The sequence below is a fragment of the Homo sapiens genome, chromosome 2 (genome assembly GCF_000001405.40).
Source record: "Homo sapiens chromosome 2, GRCh38.p14 Primary Assembly".
Lineage (NCBI taxonomy): Eukaryota > Metazoa > Chordata > Mammalia > Primates > Hominidae > Homo > Homo sapiens.
In genome coordinates this window covers 45,582,196-45,604,291 of record NC_000002.12, presented here as the reverse complement: position 1 = coordinate 45,604,291, position 22,096 = coordinate 45,582,196, and the positions used below count along the sequence as shown (strand labels likewise).

Genomic DNA, 22,096 nt, shown 5'->3' with positions numbered 1-22,096 from the left:
TGGTATTAGAATTTTATTTGAAGTGGGTTGGGAGGCCACTGGAAGGTTTTGGGTTGGGATGTTACATGACCTGGGTTTATATTTGTAAAATATTCTGGTTTCTTGGTGGAGAATAGACTATAGCGGGCAAAACTGGAAGTAGGGGAAATGAGTTAAGGAGATTATTGTAGAAGCATAGGATTCTAGATGTGAAAGTGATGAGAAATGGTCTAATTTGGGATATATTTTGAAGGTAGAGTGGACAGGACATGGTGGTGGATTGGATTTGGGGTATGAAAGAATGACAGACATTTTGGAAAGACTGGAAGAGGAACAGGTGTGAGAGTGGTGGAATCGGGAATTCAGTTTTGGACTTGGTAAGTTTGATGTGATTGCTGGACATTCAGGTGAAAGTGGATATACAAGTCTTGAGCTCAAGCGGGGAAGGTCGAGTTGGAGATACTATATAAAATTGAGATTCCCAGCTGGGTGTGGTGGCTCACACCTGTAATCCCAGTGCTTTGGGAGGCCACGTCGGGCTGATCACTTGAGGCCAGGAGTCCGGAGTCTAGCCTGGCCATCATAGTGAAACCCGGCTCTACTAAAAATACAAAAATTAGCCAGGCATGGTGGCACGTGCCTATAATCCCAGCTACCTGGGGGACTGAGACGTGAGAATCACTTGAACCCAGGAGGTGGAGGTTGCAGTGAACCGAGATCACGTCACTGCACTCCAGCCTGTGTGACAGAGGGAGACTCTGTCTCTAAATAAATAAATAAAAATAAAATATAGATTCCTGTATCGAGAAAATACAAGATTACCTGGCAAGAGAGCATAGAGGGCTGAGGACTAAGCCTCGAGGGATTCCAGCATTTAGAGGTTAGGGAGAAGAGGAGTCAAAGGGGCTAAAGAGAAGCTGCCAGGAAGTAGTATGAAAACCAAGGGCTGGGGTTCCTGTATGTAAGGGATATGCTCTAAGGGGTGAGTGCCAGATGCTCCTGAGAGCTCAAGTGATTGGGAAGGAGAGTTGACTAGCTGCCTTAGAACTATATCATGTATAACACAACGGTATCTGTGCTTGTGTTTTGTTCATAATAACTAAAGGGCCTTTAATCTTGGTGATATTCCTTTGTGAAATAGGGTTAGTCAGTAATCCTGGTTGATAGGTGATGAGACTAAGGAGGGAAGAAGTCATCCTGCTCAGTTTGATGATAGTATGAGGAGTGGAACCCTAGTTTTCTATTTCATTGGTTTTCTAATTATAGTTTCTTTCAGTTCCACTGCTGTTATGTTATTCTGATTATTCCTGTTTTTTGTTTGATTGTTTGTTTTTCCTTACCAGGCTTAGTGGTACCTCTGAAGAGAACACCAGTAGTTTGACCTATCATAATTATTCTCTTCTAGAGCATAATTTAGCTAAGAAGTCATCCAGTCAGGTTTTTGCCCCCAGCAAGAACTTAACATTAAAAAACCCAGACTTCCCTATTCACTCATCTCAGTAAAGGAAGTCTCACTAATATTGACCTTTTACATTAGAGTAGAAATGGAATTAACTGGGTTGGCAGGAGCATGATGGTCCTTTAAAAGAGTTCCCATGGCTGCTTTTTCTCTGCTCTTGCTGTGAGTTTGATTCTTCGTTGTTAGAAAAGTACTATAGTCGCACCTGATCCAATCTAATCAGGAAAGAAATCCATTCTGTGAAAGGAAAAAAGGGTTAATTAAAGCAGTTGGAAGGGTCTTGGTGCTGGCTTTTAATGTAATTTAGTGTGTTTCCTAGAGCCATTTCTCAATCCTTTCATTGATTTGAATAACTTAATACAATTTAAATGAATTTGATTAGTAGTTGGGAACTTATTTAAGTGCTTTTCACTGTTAAAATTGAAAAGCTCACATTGACTATAGTTTGACATGACCCAGTAAATTACTTAAGGTAATAAATGATTTTCTATGTCTTGAATGAATGTGTGTATGTGTTTGTCAGTTAGGTGAGAAGAGAATGGAGAGACAGAGCTGTGATTTACAGCATACTGCGGTATTTTTATACTGGTCCGTCATCAACTCTGTTGGTTCAATTCTTAGCAATAACTGTTCACAGCCTGTACTCAATCACTCCATTTTATATTAAACACCTCCTACTTTATCATTTTTTCAAGAATCTTGCATCTCTTTTTTACCTTTGACATTTGCTTTTATTTTTCCTGGAGATTATTCTGTTGATTTACTTCTAGATCATCTGCCTCTGAAGAAGATGACAAGGAAGATAGTGCCTGGGAGCCCCAAAAGAAAGTTCCCAGAAGCCGTAAACAGCCCCCTCCCAAGGAATCCAAACCAAAGAGGATGCCTCGGGTGAAGAAGAATGCCCCACAGATCAGTGATGGCTCAGAAGTCGTTGTTGTTAAGGAGGAGCTGGTAGGTGCTACAGCTGGATAGAGGGAACTCTGTAGTGTCTTCCTGATTGGTGATGTTATTTTCTTATTCTACAGAGTAGGACAAGGCATGTAAATGACAAAAACTGCCAGCAATGGCATCCCCTACCCTGGGTCTTAATTTTTGGGTCTGTACTGTGTTTCTTTGTCTATTCCCTTTTCCCTCTCCTAGGAGTTGGTCTGGGTGTGGTAGTGCTGGTAATGATGGTGGCATTAGCAAATAGTTGAGTGCTTACCATTAGCCAGGCAATGTGCTCAACATTTCATTTAAATGATCTTAATCTTTATAACAACCATTGAGGCAAGTGCTTTTATGCTGATTTTATAGATGAGAAAGCTGAAGAAAGATGTTAAGTGACTTGCTCACGGTGTACAGATAGTAAGTGATGGAACTGGGTTTCTAAGTTAGGAACATGATTTTGTCAACATTTTGGGAACAGATATATCTCTCTTGGGTGTTTTTACATCAGTTGTGTTCACAAGAGAGATAAATACAACCAGAGTGCTGGTTTAATATTTAATAGTTTAAAATAATAATCTTAAGGACTTGAAATTCTTATGGCCAGCATTTCGTTCTCCTTGGAGCCTAATCTGAATAGGGAATTAAGTAGTAATCAGAAATTTACTTGATGAGCATGGACTCAGAATAGGATGATGAGATAAATCCATTCGTTTGAGTTTATTGAATGTCCACTGTGGTCTAGGCATTATGCTTGTCACAATCACAATTGAATGTTTTAATAGCTTGAAGCTAAGACAGTGGCTGACAACACCCTTTATGATTGACACTTTCTTTAGATATGTCAATTCATTTGATTAGGTTATCAACTCTTTTAGGCCTGGGAGTTATTTTATCTTTATGTCTCTGCTCTGATCCATTCTATTTTGGGCAAAAAATTTAATACTCAGAGGGCTCTCTAATGTTCATTATTTTCAAGTTCAGATGGTGGTGGTGGCAGGTTGGCATTCAGGTGGAGGTGCTCTTTATTGTAGTTCTTAATATTTTTAATAGTGATTCTGGAAAAAATACTTGATAAAAGAGAAGATAGAATTTTGACTAAAATTTAGTTTGGGAATTGTTCATGTTTGTGCCATCTGCATCATTTAGGTAACGGAGAACAGACCAGCTTAGGGGTAGGGTCTTTATCTTATTTACACTATACCCAGTGCCGAGATGGGTGCCAAGTCTCATTTCTTCACACTTGAGCTGTCACTTGGATTGGGGGGCAGTGGCAGTGCAGAGTGTAGTCCCTAGACACCTGTGTGGGCTGCTGTGCGGACTCTTGTTAAAGAAAAATGCCTGACATTAGCCTGCTATCATTCTGTGTTCTATCCTCTACTCTTCAGCAGAAATTGGTGGCATGTGTAGCCTGTTGAGTTGTATGAGTGAATGAGTGTTACTTTTCTGTCTGCTAAGTGGTTGACTTTGATAGCAAGTTTTAATCTTGGTTTTCTGGCATGTGTAGACCTATCCTTTACTCATTTTTAAAAATTAAACTGCTTATTTCTAAATAGTTGACATGCAATGGGAAGAAATAATAGAAGAATTCCATGTACTCTTTATCCATTTTTTCCCGAATGGTAGCATCTTGCAAATCTATAGTAAGATGTCACAACCGAGATACATTGATAAAATCCACTGATCTTATTTAGATTTCTCCAGTTTTACTTGTATTCATTCATGTGTATGTATATGTATGTACTTGGTTCTGTGCAATTTTATCGCACATGTAGGTTTGTGTATCTACCATGACAGAAAAGTTCCATCACCACAAAGATGCCTAGTGTTGCCCTTTTATAGCCACACCCACCTCCCCCCATCATCTCTGACCCTTGCCAACCTCTAATCTCTTCAGGAATGTTATATAAATGTATTCATATAGTATGTAACTTTGAGATTGGCTTTTTTTCCCACTCAACATAATTTACTTGAGATTCTTCCAAGTTATTGTGTGTATCAATAATTTGTTCACTTTTATTTGTGAGTAATAGTCCCAGGAAATTGCTTTTTATCTTCTAATTCTCATATGTTCTCTTTGTGGTTTGATAGAATAGCTCTGTGGCTATTGCTGATACTGCTTTAGAAGACAGAAAAAATAAATTGGATACTGTACAGACTCTGAAAACAGCCAAGACAAAACAGAAATGTGCAGCGCAGCCACATACAGTTCGAAGGACTAAAAAGCTGAAAGTTGAAGAAGAAACCAGCAAAGCCAGCAACTTAGAGGGTGAGAGTAATAGTTCAGAGACACCATCCACAAGCACTGTGTGGGGAGGTACATGCAAGAAGGAAGAGAATGACGATGACTTTACATTTGGTCAGTCCGCTTTAAAGAAAATCAAGACTGAGACATATCCTCAGGGGCAGCCTGTCAAGTTTCCAGCAAATGCCAATAGTACTAAAGAGGAGGTGGAAATGAATTGGGACATGGTACAGGTATGTGCAGCCTTTTTCTGTCACTTTAGTTGTTTTGAGTGCTTTCTTTTTGACTAGCATAGGGGTTGTACTGTCTAAGGGAAGGGCTGGGGGTTTTCAATTCTCTCTTCAGTTTTGCCAGTGATTTCTGGAGGCTTTCCTACTTGTAACTTTCTTGGGTACACTGTTTTGTGTTGTAGCTAATCATCAGTTCTTCAGCTAAGATGTGTGGCCTCTCTTGGCCTTTGCTATGGTGTTTTAGTGAACATAAACTATATAGACAGATTGTACCAACTGGTTGGGCCCCCACAGGTTCATTGTTAAGTTTTTGCTTTGAACTTGGACTGTATTTTCCTATAAAAGCAGTGTAGGTGATTAGGTCACTGGCTGTTCATACATCTATTTAACCCTTAGTATAATGTTGTAATGTACTACAACAAGGCCTAGCGATTTTTGAAAGGAAATTCTGTAAGAATTCCAACTTGAGATGCCAGAATTATATGTCTTACTACAGGGGAAATCAGATTTCTCCCAGTTTTTTTGGCTGGCTTTGGGGACAGTATTGGAGACCCGAAGAGTAGCTAGTGAGCTTTTGTCTGTCCCAGCACATTCTGGGACCATTTTAGACTTAATTATGGTAGTGCCTCTCAGGGTAGGTGGGGGTGACTTCCCTCCCTGTTATCTGTCCCATGTGATTCTATTGTGTACTCTTTCCCTTGCTATGATTGTGGCTGTAGAGCTGAGGGCCTCTGCTGGATCCTGATTCCACTTCTCAATCTGGGACTGCCTGTGTGTCACAAATGTCTTTGTACCCATGCTGCCTTTTCTATTACCTCTTAGTAAAACGTAATTTTTTTTTTTTTTTGAGACGGTGTCTTGCTCTGTCGCCCAGGCTAGAATGCAGTGGTGCTCACTGTCAGCTCCACCTCCCGGGTTCATGCCATTCTCCTGCCTCAGCCTCCCGAGTAGCTGGGACTACAGGCACCTGCCACCACGCCCGGCTAATTTTTCGTATTTTTAGTAGAGACAGGGTTTCACCGTGTTAGCCAGGATGGTCTCGATCTGCCTGCCTCGTGATCTGCCCGCCTCGGCCTCCCAAAGTGCTGGGATTACAGGCATGAGCCACCACGCCTGGCCTGTCACTGGTAATTTTTAATCATGATTTTTCTTCTCTGTGGTGCACTAAGGAATAGAATGTTGCTTTACAGCTTTTCCTCTTACCTTGTTCCTGAATGAATAGTCCAAGGTATCTTGGAAAAACAGAGTATAATTAGGCTCCTTTCTATGCCTTCTTTTTCTTTGTTCATTTATACCTAGAAGGCAGTGTTTTAAAGTGTGGTCCATGGACTACCTGCATCAGATTCACCCTGAAGCCTTTCTTAAAGTTCTTGGTTCCAGACCAGGCCTACAGAGGCAGGTGGACATGTACCACTTCCCTTCTCTTTTCCTTTTCTAACGCTTTTTAAGGTTATTTCCATTGTTGACATAGATCCACCTCTGGTAGTTGGCAGTGTGCAGGAGGAAGTTAAGAAGTTTTAGACTGTGAAGTCTCTGGTCTTTGAGACTTGGTAATAAGTTATTCGTAGTAAAGAGCTACTTATTCTATGACTCTGCTTCCCACCCTCTGTTACAGGGAAAGAGATGTAGAAAATGGCCCTGCCTTAACCTTTTGTCTCTAGGTTACAAGTATATAAGCTCTTTATAATGAGCTTAAGTAGAAAAGAGTTTTTCACCAAGGACATAGGGACCTTTCAAAGAACAAAAGGGACAGAATGTGGTCAAGTCTCCCAAAGGACTTGAACCAGAAATTGGAAACTGTGAGGACTCAGAGAAGGTGCTGTTAGTTTTCTCTCTATCTGGTGTCTTATAATCACCAATTTCTGCTGCTTCTCTGTTTGAGTTATTATTTTCTCAGCAGATAAGATTTTCTTGCTTCTTTACAGAGGATAGAAAATGACAGCTCCCTAGTTTATTTGCCATTAGTTTTATTAGTTACGTAGACTAACCAGTTGCTTCTGTATTGCAGTTCCACATTTTTTTTTTTTTTTGTGAGACAGAGTCTCACTCTGTCGCCCAGGCTGAAGTACAGTGGCGCGATCTTGGCTCACTGCAACCTCTGCCTCCCAGGTTCAAGCGATTCTCCTGCCTCAGCCTCCTGAGTAGCTGGAACCACAGGCATGTGCCACCACGCCTGGCTAATTTTTTGTATTTTTAGTAGAGACACGGTTTCACCATGTTAGCCAGAATGGTCTCCGTCTTCTGACCTGGTGATCCGCCCACCTCTTTCTCCCAAAGTGCAGGGATTACAGGTGTAAGCCACCGCACTCAGCCTCCAGTTCCAAATTTTAAGAAGAAAGTCTGATTGGCTGAATTTGGGTCAGGTATCCATCTCTGGTCCAGTGCCTGGGGTGCTGAGGCCTCACTGTATTTTAGAAATATGGCTGCCAGGGCTGTGTGTGTGTGTGTGTGTGTGTGTGTGTGAGGGTTGTGGGTGTGGGTGTGTGTGTTAGGGTTGTGGGTGTGTGTGTGTGTGTGTGTGTTAGGGTTGTGGGGGGGTGTTCTCTGAGAAAAGGAGGGCATTTCTGGGCCAGAAGATGTCTACTTCAGGGTTCAGCTTTAGAATGTAAATTTATAAATCTAGGTGATGATTAGCCACTGTTGACAAATACTTAGGTTTCTTTTACCATAATACCTTAAGGTGTTGGTTTACAGATCTTTAATTGACAAGGGATCATAATACTTACCATTTATTTATAGATGACTTGTTATGAGCTCGGCTCTGTACTAGGCACTTTAGATTTGTTTACTACATTATCATGATGGATTAGTAGATGCAATGGGTTAACCATCAAAAAATCCTTTATGGATAGGAGTAAAATAGACAGAAAACAGTTTTGTTTGTTCAGAAAAACCATCTTAAAGTTAAAACTTACTGAGAAATTACTGAGAATTGACTCAAAGTATTTGTAGAATTTAGTTTCTAGTTTGCATCATTTCTCTAATAGGTATAACTGAAGGTGATTTCAGAGCTTTGAGAGAAGAAAATTTGTTCTGCAATCCGTTAACCTAGACTTTTAATGTTTGGTTAGGAATGAATATCTGGGTTCACTAATGCGTTCTGTAATGTCACTAAAATAGCAGCTAAACAAAGCCTTTTGGAAAATACATTCCAAGAGAAAGGCAAGATTACTTGCTGAATAGAATGAGGAGGGACAAGTGTATGATGAGCGATAGGTGCCCAGCTGCCAGAAGGTGAGTGACAAAGGAAAAGTAAAGAAAGAAAAGTTTTATTTGTAAGCTAGTAGCAGTAATGTCCTTTGTTGTGTTGTGGGAATAGTGACTTGGAAGCAAGTTGTCTCATTTAAAGGCACAAGAACTATTTTATGGCCTTTTGCCCTCTTAGAAAATATTTTGAAAATTATAGGCATGCTAGATTTTCCTTTTAATTCCAAGCAATTTTTTTTTCCTCTTCCTTTTTTGAAGTGAATGTTGACAGCTGAATGCCTATTCTCTGAGAATCTGGGCACTCCTTGCCTGTGAATTGGGAAGTGGTTTTTGGGACGCTGCCACCTTTGCTGAGCAATCTGATGGCAATTATTAAGCTCAGCATTTTCCTGGTGGGTTTAGGGAAATTGCCTGGGAAACTATTACATGTGAATTTTACATGTTTGGGTTCTTTTTATTTAACCAGTTGCAATTATCCTTCCTTAATTTTAACTTGAATTTTACAGACAATTATTGTGGTATATGTGGATTTCCTTTCCTATACTTTTAAAATTTCTCCGTAAACAGGAGAAACTTTGTCAGAGAGAAAGTAATTTTGTCTTAAAACTGTATTCCTGCTTGTAAACATGGTTGAGAACAGGGGTAGATGTTGGAAAAAGAGGGAACTGACAAGAATGAGAGTCAAGTAATACCAAGCCAGAAAATCAGAAAAGTCCTGAACATTTGGATAAGGATCAGACTCAACAAAATACCTGTAACATGCATATTATCTGCCACAAAATGTATGTCCAAATTCTTTGGGGGAAATCCTGAATAGTTATCTAGTTAGCAAGGAATGGTTGTGAAACTTAATTGTATGGAAATTATTAAGTATTACTAGTTGAACATGTGGAAATGTCATTTATATATCCTTTATTTTGTGTACTATTCCCCATGGCCTTGGCCACAATGATAACTTGGTCCTCTGTTTTTTTCCGTTCAAGGTGTATTTCTCAACTCTGAAAACTACAGATTTTTTTCAGGAACATCACTGTCTTGTTTGGAGAGGCAGAACTATATAGTCAACACTTGATTTAGTTTTAGGCTTGTCAAAAGGACAAAATTACAAGTTTAGTTTAAAGATCTCTGTTGGGTTTATGATTCTAGAATCAAGCAACACTTCATTTCATAAAATAGGATAAGTGTTCTAATGAATTAAGCAGGGGGGTTGGTTTTATAGATAGGACTAATGAAAGCAGAAACAACAGAAAGTGGATTGCTTTCCTTGTAAAGTGGAGAGAGGGAGACAGAAAAATAGAAAAATAACAGATAAAATGAAGTTACTTCAGTCTTTTTGTATAAGGATTAAAGTAGAGGGAACTTTATTATCATGCCTATTGAAGATTGAAACTGGCCTGTTTGATAAATTGGCTGTTATCATTCTTTAGATTTCTTGGAAAGTCAGATAACAACTTTGTTTTAGTTTGGTGACTAAAATTTTAGCCAGGGTGAGTTCATTTTGATTTTTAGTCTATGGAACATAGGGTCTATCGGGGCCTACTGCAGGAGCTTCATCCAAAACAATGGCTTCCTATAATGTTTTAACAGACATTATACATGAATGTATTTTGTTTCTATTTCCTGATCCGGGGTTGGGGATCACCAGGTCTTTTGACAGAAGCAACCTACTCCTTTTCAGCCCTTTCTCCCAAACTGCAAATGTGTGATTGCGACCAGAAACTAGTTTTTGTTAAAGTTATTTTGCAGATATGTTTTGGATACCATGAACTATAAGAATTTGAAGAAGTGACCAGCTACAGACAATTTTTGGGAAAATTAAACTGCTCCAAAGGTGGTTGTTGTCCAGTTTCTTTCGGGAGTGGTGAGTGTAGGGGAGTTGAGCAGCCATGTGTAATATCTTAGTAAAGTTTGCTAAACAGGGAGAAAAGGCAAACAAAACCTTTTTTATTAGCTGTTTTCCCTTTGTTGCAAGAGATTGTGTGGAATTGTGTGGAATTATGTGCGTGAAGAAAGCCATGGGATGACAAAATTGGGGAAAGAAGTGAGACAAAAAGTGGTCAACATTTCTGAGTTGTGTATCTCAGTGCAATTCTGTGTATAAAGGTGGAACCACTTATTAGGTTTAACCTATTTGTCCAGGAGAAATTAAATAAGAGAAATTGGTACTTTTTGTTAATATAATTTAGTTGGTAGTGTTTATTATGGTCTTTTTAAAAAACAACCTTTTTTTGAAGTATAACATACAGAATATTGTACATAAATGTACAGCTCAGAGATGTTCAAAAGTGTAACCATGCAACAAGCTTCCAGAACATTACCAACATCTCAAAATCCCCCTTTATACTATTTTCCAATTCCTCCTTCTGTCTCATACAACCACTCTTCTGATTTCTAACAGCACTGGTTTTTCCTTTTGCAATCTGTAAGGAAACTTGTGTGTGTAGTAGAATAAGTGATACAGTGAAATAACTAGGTAAGGGTAAGGAGAACAGCAGAAATCAACAGCTTTTCAGAGGGGAGGTGGCCAGTCGCTGGTTTGGGAGTGATTTAGAATAGAAAATTCTCTCAATTTCACTCATTAGAGAGTCATTTAACTTAGATGTTCTTTTAAAATGCAGATGCTGCCTGGATGATTAAGGCTATAGTTTATTTGGTTGATGCCAAGATGTTTTCTTTTTAACTGAGGAAATAGCAATTTCCTTTTGGAGGAGTAAATCTCAGGACACTTTGGGAAAAAGCATTTTCTTGGAGGTTTTAGAGAGGGCATTTTAAGCCATCAGATCTCATGAGACTCATTATCCTGAGACCAGCATAGGGGAAACCGCCCCCCATAATTCATTGCTTCCACTTGGTTGTGCCCTTGACACATGAGGATTATGCCTGAGGAATCATCTTGCTTGGCATATAAATTGAATTTTTGAAGAGGTTATATAGCTTGTGGAATTTTGGGCAGTTTACTTTTTCGGCCCTCAGTTTTTGCATTTATAAAATGGGAACAATAAAGTACCTTTCTCATATAGTTTAAATGAGTTTATATTGACTGTGTAAGAGTGTTTGGAACGTAATAGACTCTATAGAGGAATTAGCCTAAAACAACAGTCAAAATAAGTACCTCTGTCTTAGAAGTACAAAAAATTCTCGAGAGTGCCTTTTTTCCCCTTTACTCTCATTCCTATCTGCCAGTTAATTTTTAAAAAATATAAAAGTAATAAATGTGAATCGCTTATAAGTGAAAACTATGGTAGTTCTTTGCCCTACCCCTTCCCAACTCTAAGACTTGTTCTCTGTTTTTAGCTCTTTTAGTTGTTTCTTTGTTGTTTGCCTAATTTTTCTCAAACACACGTTATTAAACCCCCACCCCAGAGTTTCTGATTGAGTGGCTTTTGGGTGGGACCCAAGAATTTGCATTTTTAACAAGTTCTCAGATGATGCTTATGCTGCTGGTTTGGGGACCACACATTGTAAACCACTGCTGTAGTTCATAGATCTCATCAACTCTTGAAAAGGGGGTTGACTCAACAGGTGAGACCAAACAATGAGTGGATCCATTGTTGAATGGCTTTGTTACCAGTGGAAGGTATCCAAGTTACTGATGTCAAATCTGTAAGGGTCTGCAGCAACCTCAGTTTTTGCCTCCTCCTCCAAAGAATTCGACTGAGGGGCATAAAGCAAGAGAGACCAAGGCAAACTTCAGAGTAGGAGTGGAAGTTTGTTTAAAAGGCTTTAGAACAGGAAAGAAAGGAAAGGAAAGTATGCTCGGAAGAGACCCAAGCAGGCACTGAGGTCAAGTGTGGTGTTTAACTTTGATCCTAGGACTTTATAGGCCAGCCCCTTTCCCGTGATTCTTCCCTTAGAGTGGGCTGCCCGCATGTGCAGTGCCCTCCTTATGCTTGGGAGGTGAGTACATGGTGTGTGTTTAGGAAGTTGTACATAGCCCATCTGAGGCTTTCTTTGCTTCTTTGGTGGTGTGTCCCTATGTATTAGTCTGTTTTCATGCTGCTGACAAAGACATACCCAAGACTGGGAAGAAAAAGTGGTTTAATTGGACTTACAGTTCCACATGGCTGGGGAGGCCTCAGAATCATGGTGGGAGGCAAAAGGCACTTCTTACATGGCAGCAGCAAGAGAAAATGAGGAAGAAGCAAAAGTGGAAACCCCTGATAAACCCATCAGATCTGGTGAGACTTATTCACTATCGCAAGAATAGCACAGGAGAGACTGGCCCCCATGATTCAATTACCTCCCCCTGGGTCCCTCCTACAACACGTGGGAATTCTGGGAGATACAATTCAAGTTGAGATTTGGGTGGGCACATAGCCAAACCATATCACACTGGAAGGTCATACTCCACCATTTTGTCTCTCAGTGTGCATGTCCGGGAAGTTGCTTCTCCCTGGTGTCTGCATTCAGTTAACACTTTAGTGTAATAAGTATGGACCATCAGGAAATGGCCTCTTCCTGGGGCTGGCTGCCAATTTATCACTTTTAGAGAGGCAATGTGATAATTGCTGAACCATCACCCAACATTCCTAGTTGGGGAGGGGGGCTCTCCTGCCATGCTCATGCCTGTCTAACTACCTGTAACAGCTTCATATTGAGTATAGGATATCAAGTTCAAACTCTATAGAATTCACCATGTAGCCTCATCCACCTTTCCATTTCTCACCTGATCTTCACACTCCTTGTACATGTAACTGTCCAATGGGTTCATTTTGCCCACTGCCTACACAGAGCCTATTTATCAAGACAAGAGAATTGCAGTAGAGAAAGAGTAATTCACACAGACCCAGCTGTGTGGAAAACCAGAGTTTTAGTATTACTCAAATCAGTCTCCCTGAAAACTCGGGAATTGGAGTTTTTAAGATAATTTGGTAGGTAGGGGGCCAGTGAGTCAGGAGTGCTGATTGGTTAGGTCAGAGATGAAATCATAGGGAGTCAAAGCTGTCCTCTTCTGCTGAGTCAGTTCCTGGGTGGGGGCCATAAGACCAGATGAACTAGGTTATCAATCTGCATGTTGCCATCTGATCCATGTAGTGCAGGGTCTGCAAAATATCTTAAGCACTGATCTTAGGTTTTACAATGGGAATGTTATCCCCAGGAGCAATTTGGGGATTTTTAAAATCCTGAAGCCTCCAGCTGCATGACTCCTGTATTTGTCCATTTTCACACTGCTATGAAGACATACCTGAGACTGGGTAATTTATAAAGGAAAGAGGGTTTTTTTTTTTTTTGAGAGTTTCACTCTTGTTGCCCAGGCTGGAGTGCAGTGTTGCAATCTCGGCTCACTGCAACCTCTGCCTCCCGGGTTCAAGTGATTCCCCTGTCTCAGTCTCCTGAGTAGCTGGGATTACAGGCGCATACCACCATGCCCAGCTAATTTTTGTATTTTTAGTAGAGACGGAGTTTCATCATATTGATCAGGCCAGTCTCGAACTCCTGACCTCAGGTTATCCGCACGCCTCGGCCTCCCAAAGTGCTGGGATTACAGGCATGAGCCACCGCACCTGGCCAGGGAAGAGGTTTAATTGACTTACAGTACAGCATGGCTGGGGAGACCTCAGGAGACTTACAATCATGGCGGAAGGGGAAGCAAACACATCCTTCTTCACATGGTGGCAGGGAAAAGTGCAAGTAGAGGAAATGCCAGACACTTACAAAACCATTATATCTTGTAAGACTCACTCATTATCACAAGAACAGCATGGGGAAAACCACCCCTTTGATTCAATTACCTCCACCAGGTTCTGCCCTTGACACGTGGGGATTATGGGGATTACAAATCAAGGTGAGATTTGGGTGGGGACACAGAGCCAAACCATATCAACTCCTGAACCATAATTTCTACTCTTGTGGCTAATTTGTTAGTCCTACAAAGGAGTCTAGTCCCCAGGCAGGAAGGGGATTTGTTTTGCAAAAATGCTGTTATTGTCTTCGTTTCAAAGCTAAACTGTAAACTGAGTTCCTCCCAGAGTTAGTTCAGCGTACGCCTAGGAATGGACAAGGACAGCTTGGAGGTTAGGAACAAGATGGAATTGGTTAGGTCAGATCTCTTTCGCTGTAATAATTTTCTCAGTTATGATTTTTGCAAAGGCAGTTTTATATATTTCAGCATTACTGAACTTTTAGCGATTTAAAACATGTGCATTGGTTTCTCATCAGAGGCTTTTGATGTTATTCTCTGTTCCTGGAATTCCTGCCTCCCTGTTTAGCTGCCTGGAAATACCTTCATTCTCTTTTTGCTTTTCCATTGCTGCAGAATTCGATGTTTCCACCTTTCCTGTGGTCTTAAAACAATGTATATACACTTCTGTCAGAGTATGAACCATACTGTATGTTGACTATTTACATGTCTGTCTGCTTTTGTTAGCTTGTTAGCTCCTTGAGAAGAGGCACTTGATTTTTTTTACATCTTGATTATCATTGGCTTAGTATGGTTATTGGCATATAATATGAGCTAAAATAAATGTTCAACTGAATCAATATAGAAAACATTTGGTGATTTGGAGTCCCCAGAATGAAGACTGCTTGTATGTGGTTTTGTTAGCCTTAATTTCAAGGATCAAATTTGCATAAGCAGCACTGTACACTCCCATAACATACATGATGCCATATGGATTTGTTAGGACCTAGTACCATCCAGTGTCTGGAGTCTTAGCTGTCTTAGGTTTCTTTTATTCAACAATAACTGAGCTGTTGGGTAGTGGGAGCCCATGGATTGCTCTAACAATCACACAGTTCCAAAATGATGAGCATTCCTGTCGTTTCCACCTGTCATCTCTGTCTTTCAGAATCTTGCCTATCTTTCAAGGGTCAATCAAAATGCTATTCCTTCAGCAGGCCTCCCTTGGTTACCTCAGGGAGATCTTTTCTTTAAAAACATGGTGCCACTTATTGCCTGGCACATGCTGTTTTATTTTTACTTATTTGGATTAATATTTTATCTTCCCCTCTAGATTGCTAACTTCTTCATGAGCAGCCTCATGAAGGCCTCTCAAGAGGGAAGTGTGGTTGACCCTTACCTGTAGGTAGCTAAGAGTCATTGGAGCTTAAGTTCAAACAAAAGAAGAAAATAAGGGGCTTGATTATATTTGTATTTTAGAAATATCTGTAGTAATGCAGATGGGATGGGTGGGAGGCATAGACAACAATAAATACCTACTATGGGTTCAGATCAAAGATGCTATTAGTGGAAACAGAGCTTGAGGGGGGAGGGAACAGACATTTTATAAGTTCTGTTTGCCTCCTTGGTGACAGAGTAGATGGATGTGATAGAGAATATACAGTGATGCTTAGGCCATTGATTAGAATGCTTTTGATTACAATGAAAGAAAACTGTCTCAAACTAGTTTAAGCAATAAAGGAGATTTATTGACCTATGTAACAGGAAATTTTTGGTCAGTTCACTGAAACAATCTACTATTCTCTTAGCACCACCATCCTCATAACAATAAAATGGCTACAACTTTGAATTTCTACCTCTACAAACTGTATTTCTTCAGAGGAAGTTCCAGCCCAAATCTTAACTTTATGCTGATTGGGCTAATCTCTCTGGCCAGAGCAATGCAGCACTCAGGCTGTTAATTCTGAAAACAGCTGGTTCCTTGAGCCTCATGCTGTAGAGCTGGAGTTAGGGTCAAGTGCTGTCAAGCCACATAGCTGCTATATAATGGAGAGAGGTGGCCACAGTATTATGGGAGATAACCACAGTATCTCCTAAGGTTTCTGTGGTAGATGACATGATGTGGACTGGAACAGGAAACAGGAAAAGGTACAGGTTTGAGAGAGAAAATATAAATGAGTTGATTTTGTGAGGGTCAGGGAAGATAACAAGCAACAGGAGTATTTCTAAAGAGGGAGGAGCCTCATGAAGGCCTCTTAAGAGCAAAGTAACTGGCCTTGTTCTAGGAACTGAGAGAAGGCTATTGGGCTGGCATCTAATGATCTAGGGAAAGACTGGATAAGATGAGGTTGGAGAGAGGCTGCTTTCTTTTGGGTCATGGTAAGGAGTTTGGATTCCAAATGCAACGGGAAATCAGTGACAGGTCAACATCCAGTATACATTTTGAAAATAACATTCTTGTTGCTTTGTGTATACTGGAATAGATGAGACAGAGTGGATGCAGGGAGAACAGGTAAAAGCTATTTCATTAGTTCAGGCTAGAACTAGACTGGGGTGTGGGGCAGAAGAAATGAAGAACAGTGACAGAGTAAGGAAATATTTTGCAGTTCAAGTTGACTGGTTCTTAAGATGGATTGGATTTAAGAGTTGAAGGAGTTGGAAGAGTTAGACTCAGTTTTCTGGGTTGAATTGCCATTTGAATAGCATAATATGGGTAAAAGTAGAGGAGAAATAAGTTTGAGAAGAAGATAACTTTGGAAATGCAAGGTTTGAGATGCCCATTAGATTTCCAAGAGAATGTGTCAAAATAGTTAGCTAAATGAGTCTAGAGCTCATGTGAAAGAGAGTCAGGGATAGAAATGTGAAATTGGCTTTCTTGTCAGAATTGGCATTAATCCATCAGAATGGGTGATAAGATGTAGACCTCAGGATTTAATGTGCCCCGAGAATGAGATATCCTCTATAGTCTCTGGAGTTTAGCCATTTATTTCATATGTAGTCTTGAAATTCAGTCTGTTATGTATCTGGACTTGATTTTGATAATCAGTTGATTACGATAATTCTTTAATAAATTTTCCCTGTTTTTTACCCCAGTTTCTGTCAGATCTTGGGCATTCAGGGTTGAAATAATAATAAAACGTACTCCTTTTGTTCTTTACTTTGAAAGAGCTGCTTAGGGTTTGGGAAGCTACTAAAATTGGATTTTATTCTTTCTCTTTTCCGGGCTGACTTTTGTAAACTTTTCTGTTTAACTGTACATTTTGCTAAAACCTGTAGACTTAAAAATAATTAAATATTTAAATAATTAATCATCTTTTAATATTATTGTAAATATTAGTATTTTAATATTATAATTAACATCAATTTTAATATGTATTTAAAATAATTTCAAATATCTTAATATTTATAATATTTTAAAATAATTAAATATTTAAAAATTTTTAAATATTTTAATATTTATAATTTAAAATAATTAAATATTTAAAAAATTTTAAATATTTTAATAATTATATTTTAAAATAATTAAATATTTAAAAAATTTTAAATATTTTAATATTTATAATTTAAAATAATTAAATATTTAAAAATTTTTAAATATTTTAATATTTATAATTTAAAATAATTAAATATTTAAAATAATTTTAAATATTTTAATATTTATAATTTAAAATAATTTTAAATATTTTAATATTTATAATTTAAAATAATTAAATATTTAAAATACCAATGATTTTAAATAAATAATATTTTAAAACAAATATTTTAAAAAATAATTAATTGCCTGTTTCGGTGGTTCATGCCAGTAATCCCAGCACTTTCGGAGGCTGAGACGGGAGGATTGCTTGGGCCCAGGTATTTGAGACCAGCTTGGGCAATGTAGTAAGACCTCATTTCCACTAATAAAAAAAAAAAAATTAGCCAGGTGTGATGGCGTGGCTTGTAGTCCCAGCTATTTGGAGGCTGAGGCTGGAGGATCAGTTGAGCCTGCGAGTTCAAGGTTGCATTGAATCACAGTTGTGCCACTGCACTCCAGCCTGGGTGAAAGAGCGAGACACTGTCTCAAAAAAATAAAAAAATTAAAAAGTAATTAATTAGCTTGAAGATGTTGTATTTGTGCATGATACAAAATTCAAAAGATATAGAAGGGTCTTCCAACTCTAACCCTCACCCAACCAATTACCTTTTTATTTCCAGATCTTGTGAATCATTTCATATTAGTTCATATAGAGCTGCCTCAGATTCTTAAATGCTTGCATGGTATTTAGTATGGGCATAACATATTTTCCAGTTCCTCCATTGTAAACTTAGGTTTTTGCTCACCTTTACTCTGCTAGGGACAGTTCTTCAAAAAAAAATTATTATAAATAATATTTTCTAGAGGCATGTATATGTTATGATAAATTTCCAGTAGTAGAATTGCTGCTGGGCCAAAGTTTGTTTATGCATTGTAAATTTTCATAGATATTGCCAAATTGCTCACTAGCAATGACTAAAAATGGCTTTCCTTTGCTCTCATGCTGACAAAGTGAGTTACCAACTCCTTGCTTTGCTACCAATATGAGAGATGAAAAGTATATCATTGCATCATTAAAAAGTGCCCTCATTGAACACTGGAATTTGAATGATACAGTGGTTTGGATTAGATTTTATTGAATTTGTGAAATGGCTATTTTACCATTATGATTGTCAATGGATACATGTATTTTATATGGCTTTCTTTTTTTTAAAAAACTATAGCAAGTAGTTTCTAAGTCACTGGAGAACATTATTTGATACTATGTTTTAAATTATACATGATATAGATGTTTAATTTTCAGCATTTTAAATCACTAAGTATCTTTAATTTGCAGGTTTTATCTGAGAGAACTAATATTGAACCTTGGGTTTGTGCCAACATCATTCGTCTCTTTAATGATGATAACACAATTCCCTTCATTATACGTTATAGAAAAGAGCTCATTAATAACCTTGATGCTGATTCCTTGAGAGAAGTTCAGCAAACCCTAGAAGAGCTACGGTAAGAAACCTAAAAAAGAATAAGCCTAGTGTAAGGGGAAAAGGCCAATGAGGAACAGTGAGAAAGTGAATGACGGTATATTTGACAATTTCAACATTTTGTTTCCTTGAATTATTGTAATCTGGATATAGTCCTCTTTATTTAGCGAGTGTATGGAGTCCCTCTGCTGGTGTGTTTATGCATAGCTTGAGCATGTATTAGCAAAAAGGTCATTTGCAGTAAAAGTGTGTGCCTCAGAGTTTGACTGTCATCTTCTTTCATAGAAAAGGTTGGGCATAATGGCAAAATTAGGACTGCCAGCAGGAAACTCAGAAAGTACATTTTATTCTAACTCTTTTAACCACTCACATAAATCTGTCCTTTTAATTTCATAAAGTTCCTAAGTGGAGAGTTCTTTGGCAGTATAGAGTTTGGTAGGAAATATGTATATTTCCTTTTCCCATCTTTTTTTTTTTTCGGAGACAGAGTCTTGCTCTGTCGCCTGGGCTGAAGTGCAGTGGTGCAATCTCAGCTCACTACAATCTCTGTATCCCAGGCTCAGGCGACTCTCCTGCCTCAGCCTCCCGAGTAGCTGAGATTACAGGAATGCGCCACCACGCCCCACTAATTTTGTATTTTTAGTAGAGACAGGGTTTTGCCATGTTGGCCAGGCTGATTTTGAACTCTTGGCCTTAAGTGATCCACCCGCCTTGGCCTCCCAAAGTGCTGAGATGATAGGCTTGAGCCACCATGCCCAGCCTTTTTCCCATACTTTTAATGGTTATGGTAATTTAACAATAGTGGATTGTAAGTTTTGTATGGTTACAGAATGGAAAGTACCTTTTTAAAAAAATTATGCCTCTGGACTCACTGCTAATAACTGAGAAATATGTGTACAAAGACTACAAGACTGACCATATTATTCGATAGGGTTTATTAAAACACTTCACTGCTTATGCATTTATTGCATGTCTCCCATGGGCACTGTGTTAATGTGTACATTCTTCAAGTGTACAAAAAAGATCTGATTAAAATTGGATTATCATTCTACTATGAAGCCATTTTAAAAGTATTAAGGGTAATTTTTATAACAAGCTTGACAAGCTTTCTGTTATTTTGGGGGAACTTGCATCTCACTTTTCTACCTCTTGACGTTCTTTTAGTGTCAGGAGAATTAAAGTGCTAATATGTGGAAAGTTATACTTCATTGAGAGGCAGAATCAATTTGCCAATGTAAAAATATAAATGACTAAATCAAATAGTCTCAGATGCAAATGTTCCAGAGCCAGGCTAGGATAATCAAGCATGGGGAATAAGAATTGGAGATTACAAACCCTGTCTAAGAGGGGCAACCCTTGCTCGTCTCCAGTAGATTACTGTCATGCAGGGTTGTCTGCCCAGTTTGCTGGTTCTTCCTGTTTCTGAAAAGAAGCTGGTAATTTGAGTTTTTACGTAACAAATTTCTAGGCCAAACAAAACCACTCTTGACCACACCTAGAAGGCCAGCAGTTTGCAAATTCTGAAGTAAGCTTTCTGTTTGGTTGAAGGCAAGGTAATTAAGAAAGTCTGAGGGTTTTGGATCTGAAATTGGAGAAAGCCTCACAAGCAAGAAAAGCTTGCTTAAAAAATTAAAGGGTAGTCTAACAATATTTGGTTGTATGGGAGACAAATAGGAGCTGTATATCAAGAATATTATTATTTTCTTTTTCTTTAAAAAACCCTTCTATTGCAAAAGAATTCCATTCTCTGGGTTTCTATGAATAGGGGAATACATTGAATATTAGTAGAGGAGTGAATATTCCTTGAAGTAAGTGGGGGCATTGACTGGAACTTAAGAGATCTTTTTCTATAATACAGAAATTTCTTTCTGGTAATGAGATATGATCTTTATTTTTTCTTGAGCTCAGCATTTTCTATAACTAGAGCATTGATTTTCAATTTGTTAATTGCTACCCCTACATGAGAAGTAAAACCAATTTAATAAGTCATACCACTTAAAAAATGAAATAGTGAATAGAAAATACAAGAGTACATTTATGTGGTAAAGGCAAATATTGTTTCATGAAATGTTTCAATTATGTAGCATCTATATGTATGTATACTGGGTTGCAACGTAAAACATTTTTAAATTCACTGTTGAAAAGTGAATTAAAGAGTATGATTCTGGATAGTAAGAAAAGTTTTCTGTATTTTTCTCTAAAGATAATTCTCTTCTTCCTTATATGCAGGCTAATAGGACAAAAGGAATTGGCTTTTTGTTAAAATGACCTGGTAGGCTTTAGCCCTTGAAAACAGTCTTGGGCTACCATGACTATAGAAGACATACAGGTTGTAATCTAAGTACTGCATATTCTTCTTTTTAATTTATATTCTTCTCTTTAATTTATAGTCTTCTGCCTTTAGTTTTTTTTTTTTAATTTACAAGTAGATTTAATTTTCTTTTCCATCGATCATTTTGAATAAATCATATTATCATCTCTAACTTTTGCCCATCATTTTAGCAATACCATTATTAGGCAGATTCTATAAATAGGAGGTAATACAATAGGATGAGAAGCATTAACTGTAACAACAGGATTGTATATTCACAGTGAAAACCTGTTGTAAAGTGGGGGAACTACTGTGCCCACCCTTCCTTTTGTCGTTAGTTGTTTAGTGATCCCTGTAAATTGATTCCTGGAATCAACTTTTCTACATGGAATCCTGGTTCTTTTTAGTGGGGAATGGTATTTGGAAACCAATTATGGGTGCTAGGTGTGCCCATCCTGAGCAGTGATACTCCAGTAGCAATGAGCATATCTAGTACCTATACCTTGGTTTTTAAGTATCATTCTTCTGATTCCAGGGCTGGGGCAGGGAAACTAGAAGATAAGCCTGAAATATCATATGCCAGAGAATAAGGAAGTGCTCGCAGAATGACAGATACATGTCAAAAGGACACAGAAGCTAGCTTGAAGGGGTTACTTTTGGCCAAATCTGGAAAAATTTGAACATTAAGATAAATGATAGCAATGGATTGTAGCACTAAGTAAAATAAAAAACCATTAAATCTATAGTGATATAAATAAATCAGTGAATAAATTCAAAGTTTAATGAGGAATGGGATAATTATATAGTCTCAAAGTACCTCTCCACAAAATACTTATAATTACAAGAGGAATAAAGAGTACCTGTGTCTTGGAGAAACCCACAGATACTACCTTAATCAAATGATCAAAGTTAATTAGTAATGAGACAAATCAAAATCATTTGTCACCTAATAACGTGTAGTAAGAACACAGTATGACTTCTATGATATTTCTGCCAAAGATGCTCCATCGGTATTTAATTGTGAGGAAACATCAGAGAAACCCAAGCTGCAGGACATTCTACAAAATAACTGTCCAGTAGCGTTCAAAAACATCAAGGCCTTATCAAGGAGAAGAAAATCAAG

The 22,096-nt window shown here is 38.3% G+C and overlaps 1 protein-coding gene across 6 annotated transcripts in view; it reads left to right on the top strand.

Moving 5' to 3' along the window:
* The window catches only part of SRBD1 (S1 RNA binding domain 1), a 222,588-nt gene that overhangs the window by 6,976 nt on the left and 193,516 nt on the right, over window positions 1-22,096 (top strand). For all 6 annotated transcript variants that reach the window (NM_018079.5, XM_011532946.3, XM_047444860.1 and 3 more), the window contains exons 3-5: window positions 2,209-2,389; window positions 4,457-4,843; window positions 18,518-18,684. In NM_018079.5, coding sequence (NP_060549.4) covers window positions 2,209-2,389; window positions 4,457-4,843; window positions 18,518-18,684 — 735 coding nt within the window. The remainder of the gene's footprint in view (window positions 1-2,208; window positions 2,390-4,456; window positions 4,844-18,517; window positions 18,685-22,096) is intronic.